Here is a 13,606-nt window from a genome sequence, read left to right on the forward strand (position 1 = left end):
ACCCATCCTTATCAATTCCTCTCTATCCTTAAAGTACCAACTCAAGTGCCACTTTCTTTCCTGGATCATCTCAGAAAAAAGAATCTTCCAAATATGGACACATCACATTTAATATCACTCTGCTTAGTTTAATATATGATCAAATATTGCAATCATATTTCTTTTTCTAAATTAAAAACTCTTAGTGGATAAAAATTTTCTGATATCTGAACCCACACTGTGCCAAGCATCATGCTTTTGCACATAGAAGGTATATAATGAACCTATTCTGAGTTAACCTGTGAATGAAAATGGGATTACATCACAACACTGAAACAGTGTAAATAAGCTAAGCTGATAGATAAAGAACTTTTCAGTGACTGGCCATAGAATGTAGAAGATCAAAAGCTTCTACGAGAAGACTCTTATCTTGGGATTTTAAGAGAACCCAGTCTAATTAGGGAGAGCTAAGAATGACTAAAGAAAAGCACATAAAAACTAGACTATAATGGCAAAAATCTCATGGACATATGAGACCTTAAATGCATGTGTCCCAATCTCCCATGCTTTGTTGTTTCTGTCTGCAGAATTCAGCGGGCTTGGCCACCTTGAGTGGGCTTCCAATATACAGATAACTCAGCTCTGGAGGCAGTTCGTCCTATACTTAGTCTGATATTCTGTTCTCCTATTGTGGAAAAATCTGCCATTTTCAAATTTCAGTATTCCTATTCTCCTCCGGAAGTCATCAGGAGAGAACACATTCCCTCTGCTCATGTCAGTTCCTCAGAATTTAAAGAAAGTTGCCATGTACACTGAAAATTTTCCTGGTCAAACTTCAAGGCTTCCCTGGTAACTGTCCTATCACTGTTCTGTATTTCAGATTTCACCCCCAAAATGAGTTACCCAGGAATGAATTCCATCAGCATGCATGTGAAGCTGATTCATGCAGGTAAATATGTTCCAGCAGGATTTGACAAAGCCAAACTCTACAGCTCTGACTTATGCCTCAACAAGGACACCTAATCCAGTTTTACCCCAGTATGTTGCTGATGAAAAAAACCCAACCCTGTACAACATTTGAAGAGATTTTTTCAGAGCCAAATGTGAGGGCTTTGACCTGTGACACAGCCTCAGGAGGTCCTAAGAATATGTGCCTAAGGTGGTTGGGTTAAAGTTTGATTTTATATATTTTAGGGGGCAGAAGTTAAAGACAGACATCAATCACTACATGTAAGGTGTACACTGATTTGGCCCGAAAAGGTGGAACAACATGAAGCAAGTGTTTCCAGATCGTAGGTGGATTCAAAGATTTTCTGATTGGCAATTGGTTGAAAGAGTTAATTATCTAAAGACCTGGAATCGATGGTGGCTGCAGCCTATTTGAAGCGGCCACTGTGAGGATGCCAGCTGCAGTGGGGGAAGTGTGGCTGGGCGCTCTGTGGAGCCAGCAGGGGCCGGGAGCAGGAGATCCCAGTGGGAGCCCCATGCCCTACCAAGTTGGCAGGGTGGGAGCCCATGCTCCTGGGTGCAACTGCAGCTGCCTAGCCATGGCTCTGGACCCAGGGATCCCTGCACTCTCATGGACCTGGGAAAACCCCTGCCCCCACAGGCCTAGAAGTACCTGCTCCTGCTGCCTGGCCTCTCCCTGCTGTCTGTGCCCACTCCAGTGCAGAGCCAAGTTGTGGCCAAGCCCAGGCACTGTCGTGACCCAGCTAGGTGTGCATACACTTGGGGTGGCACTGACACACCATCCACCTGCTGCCTCAGCTCCCTCTGGACTTTGGACACCAATCAGCATGGAAAGGAAGCTATGGGGCAGAGGGAGGCTCAGCACGGGTTTGAGGGTTCCACTCAGTGCAAACAGACTGGGCACTGTGGACAGAATGTTGATGGTGGCAGGAGGCAGACAGATTCCTAGGCAGGAAGGGGCAGGTCCCTGTGAAACCTCACCTTCAGGCCAGGGATGGCCTGAAACCTGGGGTCCAGGCTGCCAGTTCCAGGTTGAGTCTGACCCAGAGTAAGAATTTCACTGATGCCTTTTGGCCAATCAGATGGTGCTTTTTCCAGGCCCACCCGTGGTTGCCCATGGATCAATCACACACTTCCTCCATTTTGAGCACATAAAAACCCCAGACTCAGCCAAACTTAGAAACTCATCAGGATGACCTGCCTGTGGAAAGGAGCTACCCATTTTGGGTCTCTTGAGAGCTGTTCTCTTGCTTAATAAAATTCCTCTCTTCCTTGCTCACCCTCCAGTCGTCCATATTACCTCATTCTTCCTGGATGCAGGACAAGAACTTGAAACCTGCCAAAAGGTGGGAGTGAAAGGCACTGTAACTAATTCCTGGCTGGTCAGCTCACCAAGCTGCAGATAGTGACATGCTACTGGACTGCAGGAGTAAAGAGTGGTGACCTTTCTGGGGTCCCAAACCTCACAGTTCCTCAAGCCAGAGTTGCTGTAGCACTACAGGCCTCCCACACTCCACTGGCTCCAGGCGGCCACCCCACATGATGGGAAGCAGCGGCAGGTCTGGGCCAGCCCAGGAGCTATGAGCTGGGGTGGGGCAGTGGGAATGAAAGAGGTGCAACACAAACAGGTTGAACCCCCACTGAAACACGCCCCCACCAATTGCTGCACTGTGGGCAGCAAGAAGGAGAGAAGAGCTGCAGCCTTTCTGGGGGCCCAAATGTCAGGACTCCCTGAGCCTGGGCTATAACATACTGTAACACCCTCTTTGGGGCTATGAGGTTCCTGACATCTCCAAGCTTTCAGGCGCCACTTTATTCAAAAGTGCCTGTAGCAGAAGGCACTTGCGGTATGACTGGTTCAGCTGCAGCCTCGCATGGAGCCAGGTTGCTTGTGCCAGTGCCTAGAGCTGCCTGCCGCACTGCAGCTGAAAGGCCTGGCTGTGCACAGTGGCCAGACCCTGTGCTCACTTACCCACACACCCCTTGCCACTCAACACCTGGCTTGCCCTTGGCAGGTGTGGGATCCAGGCCTTTAGTGCAAGCTGAGCCCAGCCTGCCAAGCCGAGTGGGTGGAATGAGCCCAGTGGGCACAGACAAAACCCAAGCACAGGTGCCACCAGCCACAGAGGTTTCTGGCTGGCGAAGTGACTCCCAAAGGATCATGTGACAGAATCAATAGAAAGGAATGTCTGGGTTAAGATAAACTGTTGTGGAGACCAGTGTTCTTATTACACAGGTGAAGTCCCATAGGTGTCTGTCCTTAGAGGGAATAGATGGCAAATGTTTCCTATTCAGACCTTTAAAAGGTGCTAGACTCTCAGCTAATCTCTTCAGGATGAGAAAGAAAAAGATTGGAAAGGGAAGGAGATTCACTATAGTATGTAAATTTCCTCCACGAGAGAGCTTTGCAGGGCCATTTCGAAATACGTCAAAGAAATATAATGTTGGGTAAAATTTCTTTCATGGTTTGCTATCTGTCATGTAATGCTATACTAGTGTCAATTTGCAATTTGGTATCTTATTGCTATATAGAATATGTTTTGTCAGTCTTAAGATCTCTGTTTTAATGTTAATGCTGGTCAATTCTGCCTGAATTCCAAAGAGTATAATGAGGCGTGTCCAAACCCCACTTCTCATCATGGCTTGAACTAGTTTTTCAGGTTAACTTTGGAATGCCCTTGGCTGAGAGGAGAGGTCCATTCAGTCAACTGGGGACTGAAAATGTTAGTTTTGGTTTACATTGTCACCAACAAGTCCTTTGTCCAGATTGATACTGAGTTAAAAATAGGGCTACAGGCATTTTAGCAGATCACAATGTAATTGCTGTATAAATCTGTAGGGTTAGACTCTGCCCTAACAGGAAAATGTCGTAATCATGAAGAACAGGAGCTATCTTAAAATGTAAAGATATTTATACAAAGTATAATATTATATTTACATGACATGATTGATTTATACTTCATATAGAAAGAAATTTTATCATACCTTGTATCTTCTTTTAAAGTTTTTGTAAATCATTTTATTGTCTTAACAGACAGACACACTCCAAATAACACAGTGACTCATTGGCCAGAGAAAATCAGTTTGCAATATAAATAATATAAATGTATTTCTATAAATTATTTTTGCTTGTTTATAATTATTTAAATTTGTATTTTAGATTCTTGCTACCACCCTCTCTGACATATACTATTGTAAAATTGAAAGAAATGTACTCCAGTATAGCAAAAATCCCAAATCAAAACCTATAGTTTTCTTGATCTTAATGAGCCAATTTATATACAGTCATATCCCAGCTATCTAAAATTGGCTTAGATCCCTGATGTCTGTCTTTCTCATTATCAATATTCTAACTTATCAAAGATAATTCAGCATTGCTCAGGTCTTTGAGGCTTGGCTCTACTAGGGAACAAGTAGGGTCACAGTGCAGTTCTTCCAGAATGGTAATTAATAATAAGTAGTATTTACATAGGACTTTACATCGTCAAAGGAGTTTGCAAACACTAATTAACCTACATCCTAACCCCTTAAAAGGAAATAAGTAGGAATTAGCATTTGTTTTATGAATGGAACACTGATTTGCAATACAGCTGTGAATATGCATGATTTAAAAGGATTACTAACAAGTAATATAATGTCTTTTCTCATGCATTGCAGAAGATTCTAGAATAAGTTTTCTCCACTTCAGTACTATTGACATTTTAGTCTGGATAATTCCTGTTTGTGGGGGTTGTTCTGTTCATTGTAAGATATTTAATAGCATTGCTGGTCTCTGCTTACTAGATGCTAGTAGCACCACCAGTCTTGACACCCCTGCAGGTGGCAACATCTGGATACTTTTTGATGGTCATCTCCAGTTGTGAACCATTGTCTGGAAGAAAGAAGGGGTTTAGATCTTTGAGGCTATGAATAATTCTATGTGAATGAATCTTTTATGCTTCAGTGCCTCTTGTGTTTACTGAATGTTTCATAAATATATTTGGACTATGCCTACACAGTCTTGTCTCACCCCATTTCTTTTTGAAACTTTTCTTCTTTTGTTATCCATAGTATCACTGTTGTTTCTCAGAGATTAATACTGACGTGTGTGAAATGATGTCCACTGCTGAAAACCTCTCTGCTTGAGAAAGAAAATGCATGTGTAGCTCTGTGATAAAGAGTATAGACCCTGGAAATAACGAAACTGGATTTGAAATAGGGTTACTCTACTTGGGCAAGTTATACAACTTCCCATGCCTTAGCTTCCTCTTCTATAAAGTAGTTTAATAATGGTATCTATTTTATAGAGTTGTTTTTAGGACTAAATGTGCACACATGTGTGTGTATTAGGATGATGTTTAGAATGCTGTGCTGTATAATTAAATTTTGTACATGATGCAAGAAGGAAAAATAATAGATGCAGAGGTGATGTGATATATAGTAATAAAAGGAGGTGCATTAGAGAAAAAATGCATTTGTCCTTTCTTGACTTGCTATGCTTTACCCTTTCAAAATCCGACTATATCCTGTTTCCTCTATTAAAATGCCTTCTTTGAGTACATACCATGGCAGTCCTCAAACTTCTAAAATCTATTCATCTCTAAAGTCACAGATCATATGCCATTTTTGGTTCTTTTCTTTTCATGAAAGAAAGCAAATGTTTGCAGCTGAGTAGTTTTCTGAGACTGCTTCCCACCAGTAGAATTTTTATGGTCCCTCAGACTCCTTTTATTTCATAGTCTCTCTGTTCCTTGTACTCCAAGCTGGTAGTGTTTATGCTAAAATAATTTTCTCAACAATATTGACTCCTGAAGATTTTAATTGAGCTTGTTCCACTAAACAAAAGCTACACAATAGATCAGCGCAATATAAGTCTTCCTCTACTTCATCTTCCTGCTGAGATGGTGTATTAATCTGTTCTCATACTGCTAATAAAGACATACCCAAAACTGGGTATTTATTTTTAAGAGGTTTAATTGACTCACAGTTCTGCAGGGCTGGGGAGGCATCAGGAAACTTACAATCATGGAGGAAGGGGAAGAAAACACGTCCTTCTTCACATGGCAGCAGGAAGGAGGAGTGCCAAGCAAAAGGGGAAAAAGCCCCTTATAAAACCATCAGATCTTGTGAGAACTCACTCACTCACTATCATGAAAACAGCATGAGGGTAACCACCCCTATGATTAAATTACCTCCCACCGGGTCCCTCCCATGACATACGGGAATTATGGGAACTACAATTCAAGTTGAAATTTGGGTGGGGACACAACAAAACCATATCAGATGGCTTAAAGACAACATACTTAACTTTCCTACAGGCCCCATAGCTTGCTTGTGAAAATCTAAGAGGATCTCTTGAAAGGACTCTGTGAAATTGAATAATCTGATCTTTAGGTATATCTGAGGTTAGAGCAAAGTTTGCACGATCATACCTTTGGAATTTTCTGCATACTGTATTTTTGGAAGCAATTTCTTAATTTCAGCAGTTTTTGCTTTCTGGAGATGCTGGGAATTTTCAATATCATCAACTTGCAGTTCTTTTTTGTTTAAAAGACAAAAACAGATTTGTTTAAATCTTACCGTATTTTATAAGCAACAAGAAACCAGCACTTTGCTTGAAAATCTCTTTGGCTCTATAACTGAGTTGGTCACCTACAAGTTCTGATTTTTACATAATTACAGGAGACAATTTGCTTAAGGATTTTACCACTATATGACAATGATCCCTCTTCCCCCACTTTCCAATAATATGTTCCTTGTTTCCTTTTGAGACTTCACTGGCAGTGACCTTGAAATCCAGACTTCTAATAATAGTATGCTCGGTAACTTACCCTTCTTGTGTTATACACCTCAACATTCCTTCTGACTCTACCGTTTACTCTTTTCCTAAGTCACTTTTTAGGTATTTGTTAAGTAGCACCCTACTTCTGGGACTAAAAATCTACGTTAGTTTTCTATTATTGCTTTCTCTTCTGAAGGTTAAACTAGGGAACTATCACTCCCCTACTCTCATGATTGTTGCCTGAACTCAGTTCTTGGAGGCCGTGAGATCCATGTTCTGTCACGTCTTCAAAGCCAGCAAGAAGTGAGAAGAAGGTTACACCCAGCTAAGTCCCCAGACATAATAGAACCATGTAAGACATTCCTGCTGTGAACAAACTTAATACCTGACCATAATTAAAATGGCTTTTTATACCACTAAGTTTTGGATCAACTTGCTGTGTAATAACAGTAACTGGAACGATATTCATAAGTCCAATTTTTGTTTCTTTAATAAGTAAACTCAGTGGAATTCTCTTTAAATAAATTATGAAAGTAGCCATGCTTTGTTGAAAAAATTTTAAAATAGCATACTATATCCTCTTGCATATTTAAATATATGCTAAAAATTAACTGTATGTTTCAGCACCAAGAATATATTAAAATACTTTAATTTTCTGATTTTTAATTTTCTCAAATTGGACTTCCAAAAAGTCAAGTGGACTAGATTTTTGAAAAACATCATGGTTTTTCTCTAAGTGGCTAGAAAAAGAGAATGTTTGGAGTTCTTTGTAAACACAACTCTACAAATAAATACATTGAGGTTATGAATGGTGTTCTATTACTAACAAGTAAAAGGTAAACTGGATATGATTACCAATATAGTTTCTCCTTTGTCTAACATTGCTTTTGGAAGTGCTAGGAAAAATTTGATATGATATATAGGAATTTTGATCAGGTGAATACAATTTATTAATCTGGTGACAATTATCTTGATATGTATTTGTAATATTATTATGCACATGCTCTTCATTAACTTGTGTTATCTTAATGTACCTTATTTTTCCTTCTTTTATTAAATGTATATTATGAGACAAATTAAGTTGTTTATGATTAGGAATAAAAACAATTCAAAACTGAATAATGGCCATAACCTCTGTGTCAGCATGGGATGTTCAGCTGAATGATGATATGATTCAGTGAATGAGTCATTCGCCACTTGTCAGCCTCAACTATTACAAGTGCTTACTGAATTTCTACTCAGAGGCTTTCAAATTACTCAATTTTAAAGGAAACATTAGTTATGTATCAATTTAGGTAAAAAGCCAAAGATATTAAAACCATTACTAACTTTATATGGAAACTTCTTTGTACACCCTTGAGGTTCCCAAACTATCTGTTGGAAAATGATGCTCTACCCCAAAGCCAGACACACTATAAATAGCTTGTTGTCACTTAAGACTAAATTACATAACTCACAGAATGCTCTACAGCTATTACCAATACCAACTTTCCAGCAGAAAGGAAATAATTAACAGAATGAAATGGAAAAAAAATCAGTACACTTCTTTCAGTAATTTAGTTTCAGAAACCCCAAAAGTCTTGCTCCAATAATTGTAGAAACCACTGTTAGAGTCATAAGGAAAAGAATGTACCTTATTCCCTTAAATAATATAAAGTACGAATTTCAGGAATTCATAGTGCTGAATGATATTTTTGTCCTTAAATACTAAGATATATATTTTGTAAGAATTTGAAGACTCATGTTAGTCACTGAATTCAATTTCCTTTTAGATCTTGCAAGGGTACACCTTAAATCTAACAGTAGCTGCCAGATGTCTATCTATTCCTTAATCAGCAAGTAGAAAAATCTAAGAAATGTTAGTGCTCTTCACTAAGAGCATCAAAAGCTTTGGCCATTTTACCATCATTATTTCAAACTGGGTAATTAAATTCCAGCTCATCAAGATTCTCAAGAATTCATGATTTTCGTTTCATTTATTTATCTTATCCCATAACAGAAAGCATGTTAACACTAATATAGAAACAACACTTACTATTATTTGAGCAACAATCCTCTGCCAGAGTTACGTAAGTAAGGCTTGGCTTTTCATCACTAGGCAATGCTGCTCCTGAATTTTTATACACAATCTATCTACAAAAGGGAGAGAATTCCATCTAGTTGTATTGTTGGGAAAAGGACATGATTATTTGTCTTGAAGGTGCATTTGTTTAGGAAGTGGTTTGTTCATACATATACTGATGTTAGAGATTAGTGAAAGTATCAAATCTATGAAAGACATTTTATTTACATAAGATAGAAGAATCTCATATATCCAAACCAAAGGTTGATGGAAATGAAGAGCCGTTCCTTGGAAAAACCATGACTTGAAAAAGCCATTGCTAGATGCATGTATACAGATTCCCTCACCTCCCCAGGATCACTCTATCAGCTGGCCACCCAGTCCCATCTCCCAAACCAACCACGGATACTAGCTTAAGATCTCACCATAAAAATAAAAGGTCAGGCGGCTGAGGCAGAAGGATTGCTGAAGGTCAGGAAGTTGAGATAGCCTAGACAACATAGCTAGATCCCATCTCTACAAAACATTTTTTTGAAAAGTTATAAGGGCATGCTGGCATGTGCCTGTAGTTCCAGCTACTCGGGAGGCTGAGGTAGGAGGATCGTTTGTGCCCAGGAGGTTGAGGCTTTAGTGAGCCATGATTTCACCACTGCACTCCAGCCTGGAGGACAGACCAAGACCCCCATCTCAAGTAGGCAGGTAAATAAATAAATATAAAAGGTGCATTCATAAATTAATTCAAGGTTGCCAGTAAATGGTTCTTGGATGTACCACAATGTTAAAGTTGGAAAGGACCTCAGAGATCCTCACATTTATGTCCTACTGAACTACCAAGGACCAGGAGGTTACATGCCTTTTAATGGGTTAGATTTAGGGAAGGGTGATGTCGGAAGAAGGTAGATGTCCCAGACCTCTTCTTGCTCCACCCCCACCAATGCTGACTTAATGATATTTTATATGTGGTTCAACATTTCATGTAGTTTAATATGTTTTATGTTACACATATTAATTACTTCTATGGGTTTAAGTTTCCAATAGCACATAGATTTTTTTTCTTTTATATCTAGTTCCTAAGTTCTGTCAGCTAATTTCTGAGTTTTTCCAGTTCTGAAATAAAATGTTGTTCTTTCACATCTTGTATTTAAAAAAAAATCTTTCAGATGTTTTGAAGCTACAGGTTACAATTTTGATCTGCTTTAGGGGCTTTTCTTTCTTATGTGAGTTCATTCTCTGTGGAAATGGATTCTTTCAATCACACTATTTTCTTCTTCTTTGTGTAAATTTAGCCCCCATTATCATTTGGTTCCTCGTTGTTAGGTTAGTTTAGCTTCACTGAACATCTAGAAGAAAATGTAGTTAATAGTAATTTTTCTAATGTCACAGAATTCCTACTTCTGTTGCTTTTCAGAACCATAATGGTTTGCTTCCTAAAATGTTGGCTGCTTCCTCTTCACCTTCATGTGGACCTTCTATTTCCTTTGTCTTTCTGTTGCCCCTATTTTGCTCACCTTTTATTCCATTCCCACCAGTGTTTCTTCATTATGAGGTCCTGAGCTGGAAAGCATCAATGGTGGCTCAGTTCTGAGAATTCACAGTTACTAGGCCCTTCAGATTTACCTAGGGCTCCTTTCCCTCACCTGCTATTCCACTGGACAAAATCCCTCTTAGTTTCAGGTGCTGCTCTCAGTCTTGCCCACTGTGCTTTCCAGTAAATCCTTGCTAAGGAGTTTCTGCTTTTCTCAGGTCCCTCTGTTTTCTTCACACACATATGAATGTCATGCAAGTATTATGGCTCACCTGTCTGTTTTCATCTATTCATCACTTAGTCCTATTGTAAATGTTGTTCATGGGTTTTTGATTGCTATGCAGTTGTGTTTCATTCATGTGTGGGAATTTATAGGGATTCAAAAACTGTGATGCCACTGCCACCATCATCCTAAAATCCCAAAAGCTACCGGCTTTTTTTTTTTTGTAGCATTATCTCTTCTAAGAAGTCTCCAATTTTTATTTAAATTATTTTTGTTCTTATTGCTTAAAAAAGAATGCTTTTGAATTTCATATACCAATTTTTTTATTGCTGCATTTAGTCTATTAATACAGCTACATGCCATAATATATATATAATATTGTATTATCCTCACATTTCTTAAAATATTGAAAATATTTTCTTGCTCCTCTTACTGCAATATTAATTTAAATGCATTATTGGGATGTTTTATCTATGTAACTATACAATCAATAGTTGTTTCAAATATTTATTTAAATAATTTTTTGAAGTACAATTTACTCAGAGTAAAATGAGCACATCACATGTTTAAGAGTCTCAGAGTAGGTATATCACTTTAAAAATTACCAGTTTTCCAAAGTGGCACCATTGCATGTTCCCACTAGCAACATATGAAAGTTCTGGTCACTCCACATTCTATGCTATTTTTGATAGAGGGTGATATCAAGATTACTAAGCCCTAAGAAATGATTTTGGAAGGCTTCCATGTTTTTTCTATGCTCCAAAATTTTTCAAATATCAAAGGAAGCATGTGTTCCATCAAAGGCAACGTCCCCATGATGTCTATCAGTCAGAATCACTAATGCTTATTTGGTTCATCTAGCTGACTAGTTGGGTGGATTATCTTCTTCCTTCAATGTTCACTCCAAATACATAACTTCAGAACATGGTTATCGTTTCTTCCCGGTGAACGCTATGTAAGTGCCTGTGTTCCTATAGTGGAACACCCAACAAGCTCTTTAACATTTATGGGGTGTTATCAATGAAGAGGTCAAAGACTTTGTTAGAACATTATATGTGTAATTTTAAGAGTGAAAAGCCAGAAAGTGAAACTAGAAGTTTAGACAATTCTTAGAAATGCTTGCATGTGAAAAGAAACATCAGCCAGAAAATACATGGTTTTGAAATGCTGAGGGAAATAGCCTCCAAAGACGGAGAATCAGACAGAGAAGGAAACATGAATTTTTCTCTTTCCTCTCTTTATCCACTAAAATGGAAACTCAACGAAGACAGGAATTTCTGCCCACTTTCATTACTGCTGTTTGTCCAGAACTAGGACAAAGCCTAGAATTCAAGAGGCACTCATGTTTGTGAATCATTAAATAACAGAACGCAAGGTGGGGACTCAGTCAATAAATACTGGGGAAGAAGATAACTTTTGAAGCTGATGGATAAGTTTATGACCTGAATGTGGTGGTCTCAAAAGGTGTATACTTACCTCCAAACTCATCAAGTTGTATGCTTCAAATATGTACTGCTTTTTGTATGTTTATCATACTTTAAGTGGTCTAATAAACAAAAAAAAAATGAAATTAAAAAAAAGCCTTACACGAGAGGCTAAAATATCTTGCTTACAATTCTTCATGCATTTATCTTGAGCACACTACATATTCCGTAGTGTGGCATTTCAGACCTTTCAAAATCTACCCTAGCCTACTTTCACCTATCTCTCTCCCTCACCCCTAAATCTCAATGCTTTACAAGTATTTCCACACACTTTTGTATCCCCTATGGCTTTATTTATAATCTCTCCTCCGCCAGGAAAAACCTTCCATACCACTATGCCTGATGAAATTCGACCCATTTTCCCTCAGTTACTCACTTACTAACCTGGGTGTGGGTAAGAATAGCAGGTAAAATCTAGAGTCCTTAGTATGTGCGGGGGAGCTATGGTTCTGTCCTCAAACATTCTGATAAGACAGGTGTCATTTGCATTTGAAACTTGAGAAACTAAGTTTCAAAGAAGTTGTGATTGCTCAAAATAACAGATAATTGGTGGCTGAACTGTAATTGAGCCCAGAATGACTTGATTCTAAAGTTTGTGCTCTTTCCCCTACACCATATGACTTTCCAGGACAATCCATCATTCCTTTAACTGGGAATACACTTACCTTTTGTATTCCAATTATCTTTATCTGTCAATACACTGTGAGTTCTTTGAGGGCAGGGATTGCTTTATCCCCCTTTTTACCCAAAGGGCTACTAATGAGAGTAAGAACTTATTCTACTGAATGAAAGTGAATTGTAGTGTTGTTTACAGGATAAATTCTAGGGCTCAAATAATTCCATGTTAGACATTTTAAACACAATGTATTTTCCCAAAAGTGAGAATTCCAAGGGGCCAAAGGAGCCCTGTTCACATAGATCCCAGGTCAAGCACACGAGTATAATGCAGCTACTCTAGCCACCTGACTTTCAAAGAAGTTGCCGTCAGCCTGAAATGAACTCCTTGAGGACACTTCTAAATCATCAGATATATGGAATAGGGTGGAGCAGCTCTTGGTAAATCTGCTGTCCTGTTTTCCGGCAAGAAACCATAGCCTTGGAGAATTAAGAACCAAGTGTGTTTTTCAGTTGGCTTCAGAATATTTATCCTGTAAATAGTTGACCTAGTGCCTTTATTCATGTATTTTATTCTAGTGGAGCCTGTGATCCCAGCTATTAGGGAGGCTGAGGTGGGAGAATAGCTTGAACTCAGGAGGTGGAGGTTGCAGTGAGCTGAGATCACACCACTGCACTCCTGCCTGGGCGACAGAGTCAGACTCTGTCAGAAAAAAAAAAAGAAAAAGGAAAAAAAAGGTGGGGGTGGCATGGTGAAATAGTCTAAAATTTGAACAATAATGGGCTACATAACAGGGCATTCAATGAAATATTGCACAACAATTTAAAATGATGGAGCTATATTTTAGAGAATTGTAAATATTTTCAAAATTCATTGAGAAAAGCTGATTAAATGAAACACATACTTTGCTTTATACATATGTGTTACACTAAATATTTATTTTGTACTTTTCTTAAGTTTAAAATTTTAAATACAGCTCATGGGTAA

The 13,606-nt window shown here is 38.7% G+C and overlaps 1 annotated feature.

Annotated features, from left to right (window-relative positions):
- Window positions 1,473-1,973: an enhancer, noted in NCBI's record as "H3K4me1 hESC enhancer chr13:108846907-108847407 (GRCh37/hg19 assembly coordinates)". NCBI's record gives its function as "activates a minimal SCP1, AML or CMV promoter by ChIP-STARR-seq in naive H9 embryonic stem cells {active_cell/tissue: H9 hESC(naive)}" and the evidence as "EXISTENCE:reporter gene assay evidence [ECO:0000049][PMID:30033119]".

This window comes from Homo sapiens, chromosome 13 (assembly GCF_000001405.40).
Source record: "Homo sapiens chromosome 13, GRCh38.p14 Primary Assembly".
NCBI classification, from domain to species: domain Eukaryota; kingdom Metazoa; phylum Chordata; class Mammalia; order Primates; family Hominidae; genus Homo; species Homo sapiens.